This window comes from Homo sapiens, chromosome 2, assembly GCF_000001405.40.
Source record: "Homo sapiens chromosome 2, GRCh38.p14 Primary Assembly".
Taxonomy (NCBI): Eukaryota; Metazoa; Chordata; class Mammalia; order Primates; family Hominidae; genus Homo; species Homo sapiens.
In genome coordinates this window covers 117,931,912-117,956,176 of record NC_000002.12, presented here as the reverse complement: position 1 = coordinate 117,956,176, position 24,265 = coordinate 117,931,912, and the positions used below count along the sequence as shown (strand labels likewise).

At 43.9% G+C, this 24,265-nt stretch overlaps 1 protein-coding gene across 6 annotated transcripts in view; it reads left to right on the top strand.

The window, feature by feature from the left end:
* CCDC93 (CCC complex scaffolding subunit CCDC93) overlaps nucleotides 1-24,265 on the top strand; it is a 98,590-nt gene that overhangs the window by 57,894 nt on the left and 16,431 nt on the right. For 4 of the 6 annotated variants that reach the window (XM_011511359.2, NM_019044.5, XM_011511361.1 and 1 more), the window contains 10 exons: nucleotides 3,742-3,804; nucleotides 6,782-6,855; nucleotides 7,991-8,072; nucleotides 9,295-9,366; nucleotides 10,595-10,648; nucleotides 12,091-12,153; nucleotides 14,880-14,988; nucleotides 17,066-17,148; nucleotides 19,438-19,475; nucleotides 20,598-20,682. In XM_011511359.2, the coding sequence (XP_011509661.2) occupies nucleotides 3,742-3,804; nucleotides 6,782-6,855; nucleotides 7,991-8,072; nucleotides 9,295-9,366; nucleotides 10,595-10,648; nucleotides 12,091-12,153; nucleotides 14,880-14,988; nucleotides 17,066-17,148; nucleotides 19,438-19,475; nucleotides 20,598-20,682 (723 nt within the window). Of the gene's footprint in view, nucleotides 1-3,741; nucleotides 3,805-4,475; nucleotides 6,693-6,781; nucleotides 6,856-7,990; nucleotides 8,073-9,294; nucleotides 9,367-10,594; nucleotides 10,649-12,090; nucleotides 12,154-14,879; nucleotides 14,989-17,065; nucleotides 17,149-19,437; nucleotides 19,476-20,597; nucleotides 20,683-24,265 lie in introns of those variants that run through there. The other 2 variants (XM_006712600.3, XM_011511363.3) reach the window with 1 other exon arrangement.

Here is a 24,265-nt window from a genome sequence, read left to right as displayed (position 1 = left end):
ATGATGACCAGCACATGGAGTAATCCCTGACCATGTAGCTAGGCCAACTGGATGAGGAAAATGAGGTAGGGAAGGGAGAGACTTGCTCAGAGTCTGTGTTCCATGTTTCTGTGTGTGTGCAGATATACTAAACACATTTTCCTTTTGTTTCTGTCAGTTTTCAAATGTTTCAAGTGCTTTTTTTAAATTGTAGGGATAAGCTGAATATAAATTAAATAGTATAGAAGTATATAAAGATAAGAATAAATAGAGCAAGCTACTATTTGTGTCTGCTGTGTTTCCTGGCAAACCTGTTTTTAGGCCTTTGCAAAAATGTATGCCCCTTCACCTGGGGAGAGTGACTTGTATGGTTACAAAATTGAGTTTTTATTTCACTTATTGTATCACAGACGTCTCTCTGTCAGTAATAGTAATTGCTAATAAGTGCTTTGTTACTGCTTAGTAATTACTATGTGCTTTATAAAATTAACTCATTCAGTTCACACAGCATCCTTATGAATGGGAGGTACTGTTATTTTCCTCACTTTACAAATAAGGATACTGAGACACAGAAATTAAGCAGGCTGTCTGTAGTCACATAGCTTGTTAGTGGTTGAACCAAAATTTAAGCAAATAAATCTACCTCATTCTTTTTAGTGACTGGATAGTGTGACATAGTATATATGTAACACAATTTATTTAACTTGTTCCCTAACTTCTCAAAAAATGCGTTTTTGATTTTGCTAGAAACTATTGAGTTGTTCATCAATTATTTTATCAATTTACTTCTACCTGTAGTATGTGAGGGATTCCAAACTCTTTACATCCCACAGCCTCTTTTACAAGGTCATACAGGCAGAAGGCATCTGAGATGCATCCTTTTTTAGGCTTTTACAGACACGTATGCCCTCACCTGGGGAGAGTGAGTTGTATGGTTACAAAATTGAGTTTTTATTTCACGTATTCTATCACAGACATCTATCTGTCAGTAATAGTAATGGCTAATAAGTGCTTTGTTATTGCTTACTAATTACTAAGCACTTTGCAAAATTGACTCAGTTCGCACAACATCCTTATGAAGGGGAGGTACTATTATTATCCTCATTATACAAATAAGGAAATATTAGTCCATTCTCACCCTGCTGATAAAGACATACCTGAGACTGGGTAATTTATAAAGGAAAGAGGTTTAATTGACTCACAGTTTTGCATGGGTAGGGAGGCCTCAGGGTAAATTTAGAATCATGGCGGAAGGGGAAGCAAACATGTCCTTCTTCACATGATGACTGGAAGGAGAAGTACAAGCAGGGGAAATGCCAGATGCCTATAAAACCATCAGTTCTCCTGAGAACTCACTATCACGAGAACACCATGGGGTAAACCACCCCCATCATCCAATTACCTCCACCTGATCCCTCCCACGACACGTGGGGATTATGGGAACCACAATTCAAGATGAGATTTGGGTGGGGACTCAGCCAAATCATATCATGGTCCAATGAGGGAATATGCAAAGGAATAGAATGGAGTACAGGTGGTAGGTAGCTAAGAGGAAACCTGAGAGTGATGAAAGAAAGAGAAATCCAGAGAGGTGGTGTTAACCAGCAGCTGAATTTTTAGAGTAAGTGTAGGGGTTAATGATGAAGAAGAAAATAGAGGTAAGAGAATCCTGGAGGACTCCAGCAAGATAAAAACTAAGCTAAGCTACTGGGACACTTCCTATTTAAGAAAAGATGATCAGATGAAGAATTTAATTGTTAGTTAAATTAATTAAAGAAAAGAAAAGAGATGAGCCTTTTCTTCTTAGAAAGCTCTTACTTCCCTGCCAAGATCCATCTGGGGTAAGTCTTTGTTGGTGAAGGTTTCCTGAACCCCCTGGTGAGGGAGCTAACTCTCTTTCCTTGGGCCTGGCTCTGCCCCATCTCTTCTCATATTTTAATCCCACAGTTACAATGTCATGTTCTTTTCTTTCTCCCATACACCTCATTTGAGCAGAGCATTGGGTAAATGTCAGATGAGTAGGTGGGTGCAGGGGTGAGAGGCTACACAAGAAGGTGGGTGAAGCAGGTGGGAAGATCCCGGGGACCTTTCCTAGAGCCTTGTCTTAGTCCATTTAGGCTGCTCTATCAAAATACCTTAGACGTGGTAATTTGTTGCTTACAGTTCTGAAGGTTGGGAAGTCCAAGATCGAGGCACCAACAGATCTGGTGTCTGATGTCCATAGATGATGCCTAGTTGCTGCTTCCTCACATGGTGGAAGGAGGCAAGGGAGCCCACTCAAGCCTCTTTTATTTTCATTTTTTTGAGACAGGGTCTCACTCCATCATCTACGCTAGAGTCCAGTGGCATGATCATAACTCACTGCAGCCTCAGCCTCCTGGGATGAAGCAATCCTTCCACCTCAGCCTTCCACATAGTCGGGACCACAGGAACACCACCATGCCGGGCTAATTTTTTTTTTTTTTTTTTGGAGACAGCAGAGTCTCACTTTGTTGCCCAGACTGAGCCTCTTTTATAAGGGCACTCATCTCATTCACAAGGCTGGAGCCCTCATGACTTAATCACTTCCCAAAGACCCCACCTCTTGAAACTGTCATATTGGGTATTAGGTTCTAAGATACAAATTTGGGGCAGACACTAACATTCAGACCATAGCAAACATCAACAGTTAAAACACTGGGATTTAAAGAGAAAACTAAACTTTTTCCCAGAGTACCCTTATCTCCCAGTTACACAAACAGACTAATAAAAGTTGTCATTGCACAGATGGCTCTCTTTGAAAAGGGGGGCACCAGAACCCACCTGCTTCTCTCTCCTTTATCACATTGCTCTCAGCTTGAGTTGGCTTCTTGATAGGCCTTGTTGGAATTATAACTATTTATCAGTCATGAAGACTAGTAGCTAGATTGGAGTAATGATTTCTGAAGGTGACATAACTCTTAATAAGCTGCTTACAGGCCCAAGGATGGGGCATGTTACTTTGAAATAACCATTGAGATATAGGTTAAAATTTCTCATTGTTAACTTGAACCCAGTTAATAACAAGTTTGAAGGTGGTTTTCTGCCTTGTATCCTTCTTAAAAGTGAAAATACACAATCCTTTTGAGCATTTAAAGGAATGTTTTCAAATTTCTAAAAGTTGATAGACACAAGGATATACTGTTTTAGCAAGAGAAAGGGAATTGACTTTTTCAAGATGTGAGTTTACAGTTATGTAAGTTGGAACAGTAAAAGTAATTTATTTTCATTCTCTTGGTGTTGAAGTCCTGAATCCTATCTTCTATGTGTCATCATTTGCCAACCAGTCTTATGCTGGGATCTCAAGTGCTGAAATGCTGTTTGTATTCTGCAAACAGGCAAGTGGGTTAACTGCATTGATTGTAGCCCCACTGAAAAGTCAGAGGGACTTGAATTTGGATCTGGGCCTCATCAGTTATCAGCTATGGGACTTTAGTCAAATAAACTTGACTGCTCTGAGTCTTTATTTCCTCATCTGTAAAATAAGAAAAGTGTCTTTTTTCACTGAATATAAAGATTCAGTGATATAATTTATGCAAAATTCCTAGTACATCAGCTGACATGTACTTGGTGCTAATTAAATATGAGGTTTTTTTCTTCATTTGTTGTTGGCAACCCTTTTAAAATTTTCACATTTGCTCAGTTTAAATCTTTCTGAGCTTTCATTTTCTCATCTGTGAAATTCACATCTGTGTTGTCATAAGGATCAAATGAGAGCATATGTCTTTTATCTTTCATTTACAGCTGCGAGCAAGTCACACCAGCCTACAAGCCAGATATAATGAAGCCAAGAAAACGCTGACAGAGGTGAGCAGATAGATTCTCCTTCTTCTGTGGGCCCTTGTCAAGAATTGTTTTTGACCTGAACCACTAATGGAATGATGTGTTTCATCGGTCTGTGTGTGGGAGACACGATCCTGTTCTCAGAGGCTGCAGTCATTTTGAGGACATAGGACAGTTACATGGTAGTGCGTGACCCATGTCATCAGTTTGCCCACACTGCACATTCTAGTCCCTTAGTGGTCTTGGTGGGAGGGGTCTCTGTGGGCTGCGAGGGTCAGGAAAGGCTTCCTGGGAAGGTGAGCCTGATAGGCTGGGTGGGGCACAGAGAAGAACTCACAGTGTCACTCAGTAAATAGCTCCTGCCCCTCAAACAGCAGCTTGTATAGTAACTCTAAGATCCTGAATTCCTTGAGAGTGAGATGTCTTTTGAAAGATGAGAGAACCTCAGAGTGATATAATTGTTCAGAATTTCCAGTTATCTCCTAGGCAGAGTGGGGGAAGGGCTGCAGGAGGAGAAGGAGGGCTGGGAGTGCATTTGAACCCTGCGATTCAATCTGTAGTCCAGGTTGCAAGTGTGCTACTTCACATCAGCATTGTCGCTGCTCACTTCCCACTTGTGATTGCTGAACAGACACCTCTGCTGCCACCTCTGTCATGAGCAGTGTGTAGATATTTCTGTTCCTTGGTTTCCACAGAGAACTATCCTCATCCAGACTTGAAAAGCTGTCTTCCTTGTGATTTTGGTGCTTGGACTATAGCCGTACTATGGAAGGACCTCGCTGCAAGGTCCCTACCTCGTACTTCCTGGACGATTTGGAAGCTAGGATCTTCAAAGACGTCTCCGAAACCAACCCAGTATCCCTACTTTTCTAGAATTCACATGACATTTACCAATTTAAAATTCTTACTCTGTAGCGATATGTAGCACTTAATTTGCCACCTTGATGTAAACCTGACAAAGCTTTTCAATTCTGGTCTGGACTAACCTCTTCAGTTATTGTCAGAATATTTCAAAAGGGCAGGCACATGAATGTCAATTAGAATAATTTTTTTCTCATTGTTCATAAAGACGCCTGCCTTGCCTTTGGACAGATTAGCTTCCTTTACATTGCTCTGTGACTGGGTTCCTTACGGATTAGATGGCAAGCTCTGCGGGTTGGGAGCCCTCTGTGATATTTTAATGCCGCAGAGCCCCTGGCATGAAGTTTGCCAATTCGTGGATCTGTCTTTGTATAATAATCTGAAAGAGATTAAAGGCAAAATATCTTGATATCAGCTTTCTAAGACATTTATATGCCTTAGGATATAAACTAAGTGACTTATAAAGGAGCTTTTTATACTAAATACTAAATCAAGTATTTGTTGAGCCCTTTTCATGTTATAGAAAGGTGGAGGGTGTGATTTAAGTCAGTAATAAGACTATCCTCAAATGAAAACAGCAGCCAACATTGCTCTGGGCATATCATTCCTGCAGTCGTCGTTCCTTTTTGCAGATGGGAAAGCTAAGGCAGAGAGGCCATGCAGCCGGGTGTCAGGATTCAAATACAGGCAGCCTGGCATCAGAGCCCTCTCTGGGAGCTTACTATCTAATAGGAAAATCAGACTAATTCCCATCTAGAAAAATGGGAAGCTGTATAAAACCTAGTACTGAACAACTTCTGAAGAAGCTTGATTTGGTCAGCCTGTGCGTAATTAATGTTTTTCACCTCTGGGCCTGGTTCTCCTTACCTATCAAGGTTAGGAGTAAGCAGAATGAGCGCTCTGAACCCTTTCATTCCAGGCTTCCCAGATTTGACCTCTTCAGCAAAACCTGCCCTTCCAGGATAACCTAGTGGCACTGAAAAGCAGAGAGGACTTGTGTCTTTCCAGTAAATCTGGGAAAAGTAGAGCTGGGCATGGAGGGTTGCAGACAGCAGTGGTGCCTGACACCTGTGGGGGAGGCTGCATGACTGCTTCAGAAAGGCCAGGAGATTGGCTGCTTTGTAACTTCAGCAGTCACAACTCTAATTTCGTGTGTGTGAGGCTGATTGTTTTTATGCAGTATTCTTTTATGTCTAAGTACATTAATTGTATCTAGTTTTGCTTGCTCTGTAACTATTAAGATCAGAATTGACTTGTTGAATTGATACATCTTTTTTAAGGTTATGTCTGTCTTCAGCTCTTTGATGATCCTTGGTTATATGTTCATCTTTAATTTTAAAATTTCGGGTTACCACCTCTGTGGATCCATGCATTTTATGCAGCCCACTTCCTGTGTTTATTCTGGAAGGGATCTACCTACTGTTTGCTGAGATCAGCCGGTAGTAACTGATGTTCTGGGTCGGGGAACTCCCCATTTCTGCTGGGTATCACCAACTATGTGGGACCCCGCCCTGCCTCTGAGACTTAAGCACCAGCTCTTGTGTTTAAGAGAGTCAGGTTTCATTGCCTAGCCTATGTGGCTATTCCTAATGCAGATCCCCAACACTGCACACCAGTCCTTCCTACGTCTGCTAACTCCACACAGCTTCTTCCTGAGGCCATTCCTGTCTGTTAACCATCCTTTTTGGCCTGTGAGGTTAAACTCTTGTGTTCTAATGTAATAGTCTGGATGTTTGGGGGTCTTAGGGCAAGAAGGGGTGGCTGCAAGTTGTGCTTAGTCTACTATTTTCAACTAGACCTCTTGGAACTTTTTTAAAACTTTTTTTTTTTAATTTTTGAATAAGTAACACATTCACATCGTACAAAATTCAAAAAGTACAAAGGGTGTAGGTTTGGAGAAACGGTGTTTTCTTCACTGAACAGTAGATACTAGAGATCATTGTAAAAGAGCTACTTTATTCTTTTTTAAAATATTGGCTTAGTATTCTGTTGTATGATGTAATTACCTACTTTACACATTAAAATCCAAGTTTAAGTTTCTTCTTTAAAAAGTGTCATTATCTGCCTCACAAAAAGAAGGTGAAGTTGTTCACCTCTGCTACCAAGGCTCCAGCAACCATGTCTTCATTCTCTCTTGCAGCTGAAGACTTACAGTGAGAAACTGGACAAAGAGCAAGCAGCCCTCGAGAAGATAGAATCCAAAGCTGATCCAAGGTAAGAGGTTTCAGCATGTGCTTATTTTTGCTTTGATGAAAGTGACTTTGCTGATACTTGTTGGCTTAATTTGTTTAAACACAGAACAAAGCAGCCAAAGGCTATTGGTCTGGCCCCTGCAGGTCAGATCATTTTACTGTTCATCCAGAAAGTGGTGACTCTGCCATGCTGAGATGTGCCTGGGCTGCCCTGGGTTAGTCACCTTTTTCCCAATACCCCTTGTGTACAGAAGCAGCATAGTTTTTTGTTTTTCTATTTTTCAAAATGGTCATACCTTCATAGTACAGAAAAGGGCATATGGTGAAAAATCTTCCTCCCACTCCTGTCCCCAGCCACCCAATTCTCTTCCCTAGAGTTCACTATTGTTACAAGTTTTTAAACAGCTCGTGCCTCCTTGGTAGAAAAGGTGCAGTCTTTTCTGTCAAGACACAGCTGCTGCTGTAGTTGTTTGTTCTTTCATGTAGAATTAATTGTCATTAGAGCATTAGAGGAGAGAAAGCACTTAACATTTGACCTTTTTAGCTTCAGACTATTTGGGTGGTAAAGTCTCCTGGGAGCTGCTTATTTGAATGAGACTATGAAATCAAAAAGTTGCAGGCACAGAATGAGCAGTGCTTGTTTGATGAACATTTTTAGCAAAAAGTACCCACAGGTAACTTGACTCTATAATTAGAAACCTTTGTTTCATGAAATGGAGCAAAGCACTGTCAGATAGTTGATATTTTTATTGTCAAATTAGTGCTTTTAATGACCTTAAGCAACTTGTTTCCTTTTCAGAATGGATTTTAAAAATAGTTTTCAATACTGTATATGCCCCGAATACAGTTGAATAATTGGTATCATTAAATATACCTGGTACTATTGAAACTCATTGATGTTTCTATAGTTGACATTTTAATTGTGGAATCTGTAATGTTTTCTTGGATCCGGCATTGATGGTCTTGGGTTTATAAATGAATAATAATGTCAGTTAAATGGAAGTCATTATCATTTGTGCAGAATCTGTGAGACACTCTTAGAGCTGAGAAAGGAAATTAAAAGGAGAGTCCTTTTTTAGCTGCGGACCTGCTTTTAGCTGCGATTCATAAAATCATAATGGCCTGCCATATGTCATTTTTTTGTCTTTTCTCTTCAGTATCCTACAGAACCTGAGAGCACTTGTAGCCATGAATGAAAATCTGAAAAGTCAAGAACAGGAATTTAAAGCACATTGTCGAGTAAGTGTTGTTTGGTGTCAGCAAATAAACCAGGACGCTTATTGAATCTCTTGGTTTACCTCCGTTGTCCTGTTGTGGCATCCTATCCAGTGCAGTTTAAAAAGCAGATTTGGCCAGGCGCAGTGGCTCATGCCTGTAATCCCAGCACTTTGGGAAGCCAAGGCAGGCGGATCACGAGGTCAGGAGATCGAGACCATCCTGGCTAACACTGTGAAACCCCGTCTCTACTAAAAATACAAAAAAATTAGCTGGGCGTGGTGGCTGGCGCCTGTAGTCCCAGCTACTCGGGAGGCTGAGGCAGGAGAATGGCGTGAACCTGGGAGGCAGAGCTTGCAGTGAGCCAAGATCACGCCACTGCACTCCAGCCTGGGTGACAGAGCGAGACTCCATCTCAAAAAAAAAAAAAAAAAAGCAGATTCATCCAGCAGTTATTTGTCAGTTGTATAAGCTGAATAGAGCACCATGGTTAGTAACTTTGTGCCAAACCCCAAAACAAACAATGTCACCTAACTTTGGTATTTGAAAGAAAAGTCTTATGAAGTTTTTGCAAAAATATATTTTGTTGACAGACGGCCTTTGTGAAAAGGGTAACATCATACAAAACCAGGGCTGTCCTGAAAACCTGGGATGTCTATGTCCTATGTGTAAGTCCTGGCTGTCATCTTCTGGAAACTTGTAGTCTAGTCGTGGGGGTGATGCGTGTTCTGGCAACTCTAGTGTGAGATAGGAAATGAGGCCTGGCAAGTTCTGTGTGAGCTCCAGGGGAGGAAAAGGCACTTCAGCACAGGAGCCACCAAAAAGCTAGATCTTACTTAAGGGCCAAGGAGGACAGCAAGTGGAGGAGGTACTTGATGAGGCAGAGCTCCAGGCTGGAAGATGGACAGCTGAATAAGGTTGAGGCCTGCTGGAGAGAGGAAACAGACAAGACTAACTGGAACTAGGCTCTAGATCACTTGTTCATTTCAATGCCCAGTGATTACTGTATACCTCACCAGCCCTTCAGAAAGAAGGACCTCTTTTGATGGAGGAATAGCTGCCTGTAGCCTCCTGAAAAGAACTTTCCCAGGCTGATAATTGGAGATCAGGGCAGCTACCTCATTAGCTTTTCGTCCCAGAATAAACTCATGAAATGTGAAAATAAGACTTGTGGACCAAATAGTTGAATAATTGCGTCTAATTACTCCTTGTCTGAATTTTGTAAAAGTTCATGTCACTTTTAAAGGAGGAGATGACACGACTACAGCAAGAAATTGAAAACCTGAAAGCTGAGAGAGCACCACGTGGAGATGAAAAGGTAAAGGCTCTGAATTAGTCCTTGAGACTCTCAGGTGCTATTACGGGAAAAAGATAGTTCTAGAGGACCAAAGAGCAGACCGCTGTTGCTAACTTATCCTGTAAATAGACATTCCTCAACTGTTTTCCTTCTGTGACCTTCTTAGATTTGTATCCATCTCTTCTCTCTTTCCTCTGGGAGTAGAAGGCAGCAGAGGGTGTGGAAGGCAGCAACCCAGACACGAATTACCAGATTACACAATTCTGGCCTCCCTCTGTTTAGGGAGATGTTTCTGGGAAAAGTCTGAGCTCTATTTCCTGCTCACCCGTTCCTTAAATTTTCTGCCAGTTTACTCATTTCACCTTTCTCCTTTCCTGCTCAGGGATAATGCCCCACTCCCAAAAGGCAGCAACAAACATGAAGAAGGAGAGAGCAGTGTTGGATTTAACAGAAGAACCCTAGGCTTGCAGGAGCAGTCTGGGTTTAGGGAACACACCTGGACAGCTGGTTCTCTGAACAGAGGACTTGATCTTCCAAGGAGCTAGCATGAATTTTCACTGAACCTTAAATTGTAAGAAACAGGGAACTTGAGGCTTAGGGAGGACAAGAGTGTCCAGCCACCCCACGCCAGACCGCATGCCCTGCTGCCTGGCCCAGAACTCTGCACTGGACAGTGCCCATGGCTGTACAGGACACTGCCATGCCCAGCGGGGAGACGAAGATCTTGCAGGGCCGTTATCACTCTCCTGAGTGGTTGCATTATTTCACCCGAGCCATACAACTCTTCACATCTGTGAGGGGACTGGCATGGGTGAATAGGAGAGCCTAGGAGGCAGTGGTATCCCAGGCTCATCGTCGCACAGTCCACCTCTCCTGTTGTTTCTAAAACTTTAAACCTTTAAAGCTCAAATCATCAGTTTGAGTTTTGAGCCTCTGCACAAATTAGACTCTTAAGATCTCATTTCTCTTTTCAGCACATCTTGTTAGCGAGATTCTTACATTCAAAAAGAGCTATACGGTTTACTGTGTTAGTGTGTAACTGACAGACACCTAAGAACAATTTAAAATCTGCTGCTCATCTAAGGGCAGTTCCCTTTCTGCTCTCTTCAGACATGCTCGGGGGACATCAACACATTTCTCAGCTGCACCCTTATGCCCCTGCCTGGCCCCTTCCTACATCTAGATCCTTGGCTTCTGTCTTATTCCCGAATGCTCAGGAGAGGTGTTTATTATGTTTTCATTGTTTCAGACCCTCTCCAGTGGAGAGCCGCCTGGTACCTTGACCTCTGCAATGACTCATGACGTAAGTACCTGCCTGCTCAGGACTGGCATTGTCTCCTGAGGGCAGGCGGCCAGCTTTCCACTCTCCTGTGATGGCTTCTCATGCCTACTTTAATGTGCTCTATGGCCAACTCCACATCTAGGCGTTCCAGGGCATTGTCCTGTTTGATACAGCTAGGCCTCAGATGGAGGCAGGGTCTCACCAGGAATGGCCCTGAAGGTCACCTTTCTGATGGGTTTTCTTCCAGTTCTGTGTACAAGCATGTTGTTTTCATGCTGGCTTCTCAGCTGGGAAGGGGAGAGGCCTGCGTTGGCCGCATATGCTGGTCACCACTCGGGCTCTGAGGGATGGGGTGGTACAGAGGGGAAAACCTTCTCTCTCTGTTGTACTATATACCAGACTCAGCAGACTGTTTCTATAAAGGTGCACATAGTAACTCTTTTTGGCTTTGTGAGCCAGCTCTGCTGTAGTGACCATAGTTGATCTGTAAATGAATGGACATGGCTGTGTTCCAATAAAACTTTATTTACAAAAATGGGCCACAAGGCATATTTGGCCCAAAGGTTGTAGGATTTAGCTCACAGGCTGTAGTTTGCCACCCACTTCTGAGTTAAACCAGTGCTCTCCGCATTCCAAAACCCTCCAGAAGAAAGAGATAGGAAAGGAAGTGGAGGAAAGGAAAAGCAGGAAAACTGTAAGCATCTGCCTTCTTTAAGGGTTCCTCTTCCCTTTGTACCCTCGTAATCTCCCAGGAGAATGAGCTTCAGCACTCTTCCAGTGAAGTCTGTTGGATTTTGCCTGCAGCTGAGCCCCTTGGGTGCGTTGGGTAGGGGGGTGTGTTTATATTCCCTATGCTGAGGAAGGAGGCACTCCTTTGACCCCTTTTGTAACTTTCTCTGAGGCGACAAACCATCCAGCCATGTCTCTTACCATGTCTCATCCAGCCATGTCTCATTGCTGGGTTCAATGAGGGACTAGTTTCTATTTTCTATATCAATGCTGTCCAAAAGAACTTTTTGCAGTGATAGAAATGTTCTGTTCCGCACTGTCTGCTGTGGCTAGTGGCTATCACATTGGATAACACAGCTCTAAGTAGAAACATAGAAAACTAGCATCATCTCCAAACACAGGCATAGTACAACACATTCTTTAACTAATGATTTGTCTCTACATCATCATAGGTTTTTGCAGGGGAAGGGCATATACATTTGGAGGTTACTTCACTTAAGAATACTGGATTTGCCCTGGGTCCCAGAAGGAAGAGTTGTTATAACATGATATGAGAGGGTATCAAGGGTCTCATATGAGACAGGACCCAGACAGTAAACTTGGGCATTTAAGAAGAGAAATTTAAGGCCTTAGGATGGGGGAGATATGATAAAAACATATTCAACTTTCAAAGACTCCATTAAAGAGTGAAAGTTTTCTATTCCCAGATAATTACAGCCTTTTCCAATTTTTAGGAAGACCTAGACAGACGGTATAATATGGAGAAAGAGAAACTTTACAAGATACGTTTACTACAGGTGAGTAAAAGAAGGACAAAAATATGCATAAATGCTTCTAACTAGGTATAAATGTCCTATGACATAACTAGAAAGTCTCAATATCTAAGAACTAGAGAAAATAAGTAATGAGGCTGCTGTTCCCCAGTCTTCTTTCTATCTGGAGTGTAACTCAGTGATTTAAGATGTTGGTATTAACATCTCACATTGTTGGTATATTACTTTCACAACCACTCCTTTGAGTTAATCCTAACCCCAGGTGGAGAGTGGATATTACATCCCATTTTCTTTATGAAGAAATTGGCTTGTTTGTTTGGATAACCGGCAGTTTGTGAGAGTGACATCAAATATGGGGGAGATAGGTTTCAAAATTAGCTCTAAAATTTAATTCATGCAGAGTCAAAATTACATTTAAAATCCCCTACATTGCTGGGATCTGGCTCATGGAAGCTCAAAAGCCAAAAATTCCTTGTGTCACACTTTGGTTCAAGCCAACCTTCTGTTCCCTGGGAGGGAAAGGCCGGGCTCGGGTAGGAGTGGCCAAAAGGCTGCAGAGGCCAGTGAGAGCCCCTTTCCCCTCTCTCTGGCACCTACTTACTTTGCTGAGCTGAGAGGGTTAAATTAGAGTGAGTCAAATTTGTCCTTGTTACAGACTACTAATCTTTAAAGAGGCACAGAACTAAATAAAATCGGGACAGTACAGCTGCATATTTGGAAACTTTTTGACTGAGTGCTTTATATGTATTCAGCATTGGATCAGGTCCCATAACTAATAAATAGGATGACCCATCTCCTGGACATGCTGGCTATTTGAGAACCAAGACATGTCTATATATACATCAAAGTTCAAGGGAGATTATGTGCAAATTGCTTTCTAAGGGCAGCTTCAGACTGGCTAGGGGAAAGCTTCAGTAAAGCCAGTGGCTTGCTGAGGGCAAGGGCCTGAGTTAGGCAGTGGCTGTAGAATGCATGGAAATGAACTGATGGGACAGATTGCAGGGCTGTAGCTGATGGAACTTAGTATCATCTGAGATAAAAAGAGGAGTCAAGGATGATGCTGGAATTTCTGACACAAGGGTGAATAATATTTGTGTTATTCATAGAGGAGAAGCATAAAAGAGAATTAATGGACTAGGGTTAAGGGCGAGAGGAGTATAATAAATAGGAGTGTTAATGAGATCTGTTTGGGGCTTTTCAAAGTTGGGATACTCAACCACATTGAAATGTCCAAGGAGTGCTTTGTTGTCAGCTCTGACTCCCAGAATAGTATGGCCTGGAGATTTGGGTGTCTGCAGTGTTGATGAGGACTGGGGCTGTGGAATGTGGAAGAGGCCCTGAGACTACACCCTGGTGAGCACATGTGAGGATAGGCAGAGCAAAACAAGGGATCTCCCAGTGAAGATGCACCTGAGCAGCCAGAAGGGAAAACAAGTGCATGAGGCTTGTGGGAGCCGAGCAGAGAGCTCAGCTGAGAGGAGGGGAAGTGCCACTAGAAATCAAGAAGGCTAGGAGCTGAGAATTGTCCATTAGATGTGTCCCTGAGAAGGTGTGCAGTGACTTTGGCAAAAGCAGTTCAGTGGGGCACTGGGGAGAGCCTAGTTGCAGTGGGTTGAAGAGGGACTGGCATGGACAGAGGCTCCCATGTGCATGGCTCTCAGTACATTTCTCTTCCCTGTAAAAGGGAAGAGAGAGGCTGGTAGCTGAAAGGTGATGGCGATTAAAGAAGGGCTTTTTAAGGAGTGAGGACATGAATGTATTTAAATGCTGATGAGAAGGGTCAGTAGCCAGTGAAAAGTTACAGATGCAGTAAAAGACTGAAGAGTTGTATCTTAAGACTCCTGAAAGAAAACCAGGAGTCAGAGCCTGAGCACCCATGGGGAGCGTAGCCTTGGCCTAAGGGAGAAATACATCCTTCCCTCTCCCTGGAGCTGCAGAGACCCAGTTTTGGATTAGGTCACCAGAGCTGAATGTGGGTTTCCCACCAGGAGGCTCCTATTTCCCCAGTGAATTAGAGATTCACATCTGCTGCTGCAGGCAAAGCAGGCAGGAGAGTGGGAGGATATGGTGGACAAAGGGATGCAGGCACAGAAGAAAGGCAGCACTCAGAGCCCGCTTGGTCTGGAGTCTACACGTGTTCAGTGGGAGCCATGCACAAGTGAGCGGCTTGCTCTCCCTGCAGCTGCCCCTGTACCATGCCACACCACACAGCAGTGCCATGCCTCCCAGACCCGGTCAGTAGGGCAGTTTCCTGAGTCTGTGGAAGGGAGAAAATGCTAGAAAGTATTTGAGGAGTAGGTTGCAGGAGCTTTTTAACCAGGATGAGGAATTTGGGATGTATGTGGAGGCGGCAAGGTGGCATAGCTTCCCATCATCTGAAGCATTCCTTTTGTTGCCTGTCCCTGCCTGGCAGGGTGGAGCTGGCTATTCTAGACTCCTTGGGGGCCTGGTGGGTAGCTGCCGGCTCTGTCCATAGAAGCCCTTCCCATTCAGTATCTTCCCTCCTGGTCCACTCATTTGGTGCCTTCTGTGATTCAGTTCACAGTCACACCACCTCCCACTCCTAGGAAAGCGGGAAAGTCAATCCAAATCTGAGATGGGGACCTTTAAGCCCATGGCAGGAGTTTGTGCCTGCATTGTAGGGCGCATGGTTGGGCTCAGGTCGGGGTGCAGGCAATATTTTGGCTCCCTAGAGAACATGTAAGGCCTTTTACCAAATAGTACTGTCTCTGTCTCCCTTTTGCATTTAGGCTCGAAGAAATCGAGAAATAGCAATTTTGCACCGCAAGATTGATGAAGTCCCTAGCCGTGCCGAGCTAATACAGTATCAGAAGAGATTTATTGAACTCTACCGCCAGAGTAGGTGCATTGACCACAGACAAGCTCTTGAGGCTGGGAAGGGACAGGCGAGGGGTCTGTTCCACTTTAGCATGGGGGAGCATGCACCAGAGCACAGTCCACAAAGGCCACCACCGGAAAGCTCCGTTTCATCAGCAGGCCCACTTGGCAGTCCCGGGAGCAGCACTGTGGTGCTCTCACTGCCCTCTCCGTGGACAGATAGTTGAACCAGTTGAGCTCTTAGACTAAAGCTTCAAAGCAGCCCTCATCCTGGTCAGCCACACAGCCTTCCCCTGAGCTCCCACACCACTTTCCAACTTCACACGGAACATCGTGACCCTGGTGTCTAGAGATCAGTCCTCATTCATTGTTCTTCTCTACAGACTTTGTTGCTGATGTGGTCCTTAACCCTTAACAGCATCATATTCACCCAGTAACCCAGGACCATGACCCCCTCAGCCTGAATAAGAGATCATGTCTCATGAGGCTCAGAATGGCCCTCAAGGCTGCCATTGCCTTTTTCTTCCTAACATTCCTGCCACATCTGCTCTTGCATCATATCTCAGCTAAATGACCATTAGCTGCAGTGCCTCCAAGTCCCCTAGCCACACATCTGATTCTGTCACTTCTCTCTCTGCTAACAAATCTTCAGGAACTCCTCAGGCCTTACTGAATAGAGCCTCTTTCTTTACCATGCCTGGGTTCCTCCCCAGTCTGAGTGGCCTGCCTGGAGGCCCCTTTCCTGATCTGAACCCTCACTCTGGCCTTGCCAGTCCACACACTGCCTCTGAACAAACCATGAGCTTTGACGTCTTAGCCTTGACTCCTCCTGTTCCTGGTGCCTGGATCCTTTTTCTTCTGTCAGGCTAAATTCTTCAATACCCAATTCAGATCCTGTAAACCTATTCTAGGCACCCCACCCCAGGCAAGAAGTGACCACCTCTTCTCCAGGCTCCTACTCTTGTATGTCCCCATGATACCTGAAACTCAACAGGTACAAAATTGAATTCGGCCCTCCTACTCCGTATTCCTCTTAGGCAAACTGGACCCCTCTTTCTTCTCTGACTCAAGCTGCTCGCCAATTCTGTGTCTTAGTAATTTTCAAGTCTATTTCTTCTGGACTGCGCTGTAGCCACCTTCCTTTGCTGCTCAGAGTCTAATTAGATCTCTTTCAACATATATTTGATCATTTTACTCTAAAAGCTGTAATACTTAGGCTCCCTGCAACTTCTTGGGTAATCTTTAGAATCCTAAATACACAATACTAAGTCCTGCATCGTCTTGGCCCACTTCACCCAGCTTCACCCCTCTTGCACATCTGCATCTTGGCCTGTGAGCTGGTACCTGAGTCCATAGTGCCATTATCCTACAATTCCCACTTGGTATTTCAAAATCCACCTAAGATTTTGCCTTGAGGACTTGGCCTCTCCAGCATCCTTCCTGGTAGAGCACTGGCTCTATTGGAGGAGATCAGATCACACTTCCTTCATGTGCCCGGCCCCACTAGGCTGGGATTTCATCCAGTCCTCACACTGGACTCAAATGATCAGAGGCAGGGATCAGCAGTGACAGTTTTCAGCAGAAAGTAGTTTCTGCTTTAAGTTAAATCTTTCCCTTTACTTTTCTATTCCTGCTTGTTTCAAAGCTTTTAGCAATAATAATACCTGCATCTATTTATTTCACAGAACAAATTTCACACAGGTTAAAATCATCTGATAAAGACATGTTTACACTAAGGACATTTTCAAGCAGTTACATCAAAATACCTGTATCAATGTGTTATTATCAAATATCTACAACCCCCACCCAGTTCTTTGGCTGGATGAGGTAAGGGTGGCTGGTTCATTTATGGGAGTAATTCTCAACTTTGGGTACTCACTGTCACCACCTGGGTCCCACCTTCAACATTCTCCTTTCATTGGTCCTGAGACTTGTTAAAAGCTTCCCAGGCAATTCAGTTTGCACGCTGTGGGGTTTCTGCAGAGTGAGCTCCCAGGCCTGACAAAGTTGTCCTGGCAGTGCATTCATGGAGGAGAGGGGCAGGTAGGGTGTTCTGATACCTGTTCTTATTCGTGTGCTGATTTCTTTACTTTTACAGTTTCAGCAGTGCACAAAGAAACCAAGCAGTTCTTCACTTTATATAATACCCTGGATGATAAAAAGGTTTATTTGGAAAAAGAGGTAAGAACATTTATAAAAAGAAAATGGCTAAGCAGCTAACAGTGCAGTTGACTCCAGGAAGTCAAATGAACTTGATGTTTGGGACAGGTATGTTCAGCATTAGCAGAAAGAGTGCCTATTTTATATGCTAAGTGCTGGCATACCCAGTCAGAAAGTGCAAGATTCCTTGGGAACCCAGACTGTCTGCTGTGAAGTGAGACTGGTAGACAGCCATTCTAGAGTGCTGTGGGGGAAATGCCATTGTTAAAAGGAACACAATGGAAGCTCTGGAGTTGGTGAGACTAGTTTGAGATTTAAAGGAAGGGAGGAACCAGCTGAATGAAATGGGGGTGGTGGGCTTGTTATAGTTTACAGGGAGAAAATACCTGTTTAATCATCAGTGGCCGACAAAGGCGTGAACTAAAAGGTTTGTAAAATTCAAAGCAGGGGTGAAAGGGTCACTGTCACTCCCTTCGTCTTTTTTTTTTTTTTTTCTTGTCTTTTTTTTCTTTTATTATTATACTTTAAGTTTTAGGGTACATGTGCACATTTGCAGGTTAGTTACATATGTATACATGTGCCATGCTGGTGCGCTGCACCCACTAACTCGTCATCTAGCATTAGGTATATCTCTTTTTAACATTTAAAAACTCAGGTTAAATTAATGGCTCAGGGCTTTCCCAAGTTGATGACAAACGGTTGGAGCACAGTATGCAGATATGTCTTAATTTAAAAAAGAGAACAGTCCTGGTCTTCACCATGGCAGCATAGTGTCCTGAAGAGAACACGGGCTTTGGCGTCAGTCAGATTTGGGTTTATTTGGGTTTTAATGTGGCCTCTTTTTTCTCACCTGTAAAATGGGGATGACACCTAATTGCATTGATGATGATTATAATGCGGACAGAATGAGAAAATGTAAAGTTCCTTACACATGGTGGATTCTCAGTACATACTTGTTCCTACCCTCCCCCTCACCTTGAGGTTGATAGAATGTGTTTTCATTTTGTCACCTTGTAGTCTACACTAATTACCACTTTAATAAGGATAATATTACAAATGTATCTTTTACCTGAACCCAAATTGAGGCATCTGTAATTACTGTCACCTTTACTGCCTGCTGTCAGACAAACCAGGTAGATCTCTGTCATCCTAGAGGGTGCTCCTTGGGAAGCTGTTTTATTTTTTTCTGTATCCGGGGCTTACACAGTGGTAGGCGTATAACAGACATTTGATAAATGTTTGAATAGATGAATGCATTTCATGGGATTTGCATCAGACCTGGGGAATAGCTCTGTCCCACATCCTGGCCTTGGGGCCCTCCTACCTGGCAAAGGAAAGATTTGCCAACCCTGACTTAGGGATAGGCCAGCCCCTTCCCAAAGACCTTAAACCCCATTGACCTTCCTTCATCAGCAGTGTTTAAAGTTGTTCCACTGTTTAAAAACTAGGAATATTGCGAGGCAGACTGGGGAGCTGGGCTTTCTAATTCCAAGCCATGTTACCAGTTAGAATGTTACATTTGAATAAATTTGGTATTTTATTTTAAATGGATTTATGCCTATGATAGTTTAAAACCTTCCTGTGGAGTACTAAGGACAAGAAATATTCTACATTGCTGACTGTGAACCTAAAGTTCACATATGGTAATTACTTAGTTCTGAGGCCCCAAATTGAGTAGTTTTATGGCCAGAAAGATGACCCAGGTTTCCTTACTCCTGCCTCAGAGCCCTTCCCAGGACTGTATCATTGGGGCAGATAAGAGGATTTGCTGCGGGGCTAAGGCAGTGTCCACGGGGCCTTGAACAGTGCATCCCCTTGGAGGCACTCAGCCACCCAGCAGCTTAGCTTGTTGCATTGGCGAGAAGATTCTGTGGGAAGGAATAGGGTGTAAACGACTCTCACTTTCCACACTGTCTGACTCCCGTAAGCTGTTATCCTTGAAAATAAAGTGCAGTGTTTGGCAAGATAGAAAGGGCTGTGGTGGCAGTTTGCCTAGAGAGCCCTAGTGTTAGCTTAGTGTCCTCTCAGCTGGGATCCAGTTCCCTTCAAAGCACCTTCTCCCTACATTCCTGTGGGAATGCCCTGTAGGAAGAGGGAATTTTCTGTGAGAAGAAGGTGGATTCCCTGAGGAAATCTGTGAGACAGAACATGTGGCTAATTTTTTTTTCATATGTTACTTTAATCTTCATAAACAAGGCATGTGTTCCTTGCAGAAGCAGTATGTGGAGACAGGCAAGCTTGCAGCAGTTGCAGTAGTGTGGAAATCTTTTTGCCTGTCTTATAATTTCGTTTGTTTTTTTACTTCCCCAGATTAGTCTGCTGAACTCAATTCATGAGAACTTCTCACAGTAAGTACTGTCAGTCCTCCTTCCCACTAATACCCTGCCGGCCTGCGCTTTGAATTCAGCCCACCTCACATTGCTATAATGTGCTTGACAAAGGTACATGCAAGACTTAACACTGGGTATGTGATTCTTACTCTTTTAGCCCTTCTGCTAAGTATCTTGTTTACACTCTCCTTGAGTACCTGCAAAACTATAATGATAGTAGAGTGAAGGAAGAGCTGACGAAAAAAGTTAACTTTCAAATACTTTGACTGTACCCACCTACTAAAATCTCTCTGTATGTTATCAAATTAATATTTGTTAATGAACACATAGAGATGCTTTAAAATTTACATAATGGAATTTATATAATTTTTTAGATTTTTTAAATCTCATGGTAGATTTTTTTTGGTTAATGTGTACATTGTTCTCTAAAAACTAGATGTCAAGGCCCACCTGTTCCCAAATCAAGCCCTCAAGCATGTCCATTTGCCCACCCACCATCCAGCAGCCCCAGGACTTGCTCCTTGGAGAGCATGCTTCCCTTCTCTCTGGCACAAATCTCTGCTGTCCTCTGGCAGGCCCTTCTCTCTGGCACAAATCTCTGCTGTCCTCTGGCAGATGACAGCGGACACATTGTGACTGACATCTTATTGAGTTACAGGTTCTAGATTTTAAGCTTCTTTTCTTAAAAAAAAAAACAAAAAACCACAGCTTCCCCTGGTTTTAGGAAATCTCAGAATATGTCTCCCAGTTTCAAGTATCTGCCAATCCTCAAATTTTGTAAACCAAATGAAATTCATTACTTATGCAGTACATGCCGTATTTCAAATAAATAATGTTTTTGTTAATTTTAGTCACATTTTACTGCAAGAAAATACATATTAGTTATGAAAGTTACAGGGAAAGTATGACAAAAAAGATTAACATGCAATTATAAGACCAGGCTAATTTCCATGCCTTCTCAGAGGTTTAGCATCCTTAATTGCCTGGGATCCCAGGGGCCCCCGTGGCTCCACTGTGCGTTACAAAGACCTGATTGCCTCTCCTAAGAGTCATAATCTGGATACAGAGCTGACTGCTTGGCATTTCCCCCTGCCTCAGAGTCCTGTGTGCCGGTCATAACTCTACTGGTTTTTCTTTCAGGGCCATGGCCTCCCCTGCTGCCCGGGACCAGTTTTTACGTCAGATGGAACAGATTGTGGAAGGAATTAAGCAAAGTAGAATGAAGGTCAGATGGCTTCTTTTCTGTAATGCAGCCCAGGTTTTATAGTGGTGACAGGGAAGGTCCTGGGAAGAAAAGGCCTCTTCTGGTAGTTGGGGAGTGTGCCCTCAATCCTGAAAAGACACATTTCTACAGAGGTATTCCCACCATGCGTCTTACTCTGTAATGGGCAGGGCCTGTCTCATGAGCTGCCTACACCCAGGGGTTCAAAAGTTGCTGTTAGCAGTAGCTCCCAGGTATTGAACACCTATTGTGTACCAAGCATTGTGCTGACATTCCTAAAAGACCTCTGAAGTGAACAGTATCACACCCATTTTACAGATGAGGAGACCACCTTTCACCAGCAGGCTTCCGCTCTTGACTAGATTCACTTCCTCGGTGGATCTGTGGTACCTGACATTCCGCCACAAGAGATTCATTCCTTAGGAATCTTAGGATCTCGAGAGCATTTTGGTTTTCAGGAACCCTCTAAAAAAGAGAAATCATTGCTGAACTGAGTTCTGCCAAATTGAGAGGAAATTGAGTCTCAGAAGTCTGAAGAGAACAGAGAGGCCCCACTCAGTCAGGGTGCAGCATGGGATTTTCCTACAGAGACAGCTGCAGTTTCCTACCACCATTCTCAGATGAATCCTAAACAGTACCTCCAAATATCTCTTGCTTATGGTCCTGTTTTAAAAATGTATCACGCCAGAGTGGTTCTCCGACATGGCAGTAAAATCTTCCGGGGACGTTGGGTTTCTCCTCTTACGATCTTGGGGCAGAGGGCTCCAGTGAGTGATGCCAGAATGTAAACACATGAGAAAGAAAGAATTGTCCATAGGTCCTGTCATCATAAAAAACCCTGTTACAGAAGACAAACATTCAAGTTGCCTGTAATCTCATCTCACAAGAGATGAGCTAAGGGCAGAAGTGCTCCATATCCCTTTCCCTGTAGAAAAATATCATTAATCTCTCTGTGAATGACTTCAATAAAACGATGTCAAAGGAGGAGAAAAAAAGTATCACTAGTAACAAGCACGATTTCTCAAGACTATTCAGCCGTAAAAATGAGAACGACATAAGTCAGTGTTTGCCTATATATGCACACTCACCCAAGCCAGGATAGGCTGTCTTGCAGAGGGAGAATGCAGTCCCCTCTCAGTGACCTGGGGTATGAGTAGGTGGAGGGCAGAGAACCTGGCTGACCAAAAGCCTCTGACAACCCAGGTGTCAGTGTGTTAGACGCTTCCACCTTGCCATTGCTCTGCAGGAAGCTGCTCTGGTTCATAGTCAAGAACAACAGGAATTCATGGGGTTTTTTCCTTTGACTTCTGCTTCGTGTTTACAGAGAGCAGTGTAAACAGGAAGTGGAGGCCAAAGGAAAAAACTCCATGAATTCCTGTTGTTGACTATGAGCCAAAGCAGGGGAAGAAGTGGGCCTCACCCCTTCACTCTCTTCACTCTCCCCGAGGAGGCTTCGTGCTCTTGGCCCCTCAGTGCTGACCAGTGTGGAAAGGCGCTGCTGTATCTGTCTCTCCCCTCCATGGTGGGTGCCAAATGGGTCAATGGCACCCAGGGCAGAGTGGGCTCTCTTTCTCTGGTCTGCATCCCTGGTGGCTGATGTAGCACCTAACCCATGGTTAGGCCCTCAAGGACTATTTGTTGAATGAGTGAATTCTTTCAACAGAGTCAAAGAGCAGTTCTCAGAGAGGGCTCCAGATACGCTTTGAATGTTGAATGTTGATAGACACTGTGAATGGAACAGCAGTCACTTGGATGGATGTGTTTTATTGTGTTTGTTTAAAAAAAAAAAAAAGCTTTCCCTGTAACAGTGCCTTAATGGGTCCTGCTCTCATAGATGTGGCAGGGGAGTCTGTCCTCTCAAGCACAGGTTTCTCAGAACCAGCAGGTTCAGAGTGTTACATAGTAGACCAGCGCTGGGTAACAATGACCGAATAGGTGTTTATGCCCCGTCTGAGGGTTTCTGAGTAAAGAAGAGGTCACATATCAGTCAGCATTTCGACCTCACTCAGAGGAGTTAAGGTCTCTGGATCTCTGGAATACTGTGAGCAAGTGCTTGGCACAAGCACTTCACAGACCTAGGGTGTGAAGAGGTGATAAGGAGGGAATAACAATGGTACGTCTGAGTAAGGGGACACTGAGAAGAGTGTGAAAATGAAGCTTAAATCAAAGAGTCAACTCCTGCTTCTCATAGTGAGTTGGCATTCTAGGATGTGAAATGTTGAGAAGAAAAATGGTCTTTATTGAGCAGCTACTATAGACCAGGTGATGGATCATTCACTTACCATTTCATGTCCCAAGCTTCTTGTAACAAAACTGGTTATCTAGGTGATATTCTTATTTTAGCTAAAGGACGTAGCATTCAAAAAAGTTAAATTAGCTGTCCAAGGATACACAGTGAGTGGCAGAACTAGGATTTGAACCCAGCCTTTCTGGCCTCAAGCTCATACTATTTCTAGGTTGCCACACTAACTCCCACAGTGGATCCTGGATAAATTCATAATTCAAGCGCATTGCTACCTCACTAGGACATAATCAGTCACGGTGAAGTGTTTTGCTAAAGTGCAGAGCAGAGAGGAAAGGCCTGAGATAGAGCTGCTGGCTGTCCTAATAAGAGAGAGGGACCTAGCTGTGAGGTCCTAGCCAGTGCAGCAGAAAAGATGTCTGCTGCTTTGAGAGTTGGAGCCCACGAAGGAACAGTAGTGGGAACTGCGGTGGGCTGGTGTGTCACTGTGACAGGATCATGAGTGGGTGTCAGAGACCCATGCAGGCAGCATTAGGGGTTCCATCGACAGGGATCAGGACTTGCTGCTGAGCCAGGGCTCCAAGTGTGGTAGGACACCCCAGAGGGGACTGGCCACTCTGGGAGACCTAGGCACAAGGGAGGGCACCAAACTGGAGACCTAGCATGGGTGTGCACCAGGCATCCGTATGCAGACCTGTGGAAAGAGCAGGGCACAGGGTCTTGGGACTCAGGAACTGAATGCAAGGTCAGGATTTGACTAGGCAAATCAGTCCCCATATGTGGTGGGTCTTTCTCTGAACAGCATTGGGATAGGCCTTGGGGACACCAAGTTGCATTTGTCCTGTGTAGTCAACAGAAGCCTATAGTGTGGAGGGAACTACTGAATAAAATGCAGTCAATTTTACCTATAGCTTGTGTTTACCAAATCCCTCCCAAAGTGTAACACAGAAATCATGGTCAGGCATCAGCAAAGCCACAGCAAAGCATCTCTCAGAATTTGATTCAACAAGCTTTTGAGCACCGGCCATGAGTCAGGCACCCGGTCTGTACCGTAACTCTTACTGCCCTCATTTCCTGGCTGATTCTCTGGGTTTACCTTCCAGACATACAGCACATAGCATTGCCAGCCCTGCTCTAGTGTCCTCAGAGAGCCTCTCTGAGCTTCCAGGCTGAGGAGGCCATGCACCCACCCTCCTCTCCGTCACCTCCCCCCGTGTCATTTTCCTCACAGGACCGATCAGTGTTGCGAATATTTTGTGTGTCTGTTTGTCAGGGTGCTTGCTTAATGTGAATCTCTAGAATGTATGCTCTGTGAGAGCAGTGACTTTGCCATGTTCACCACTA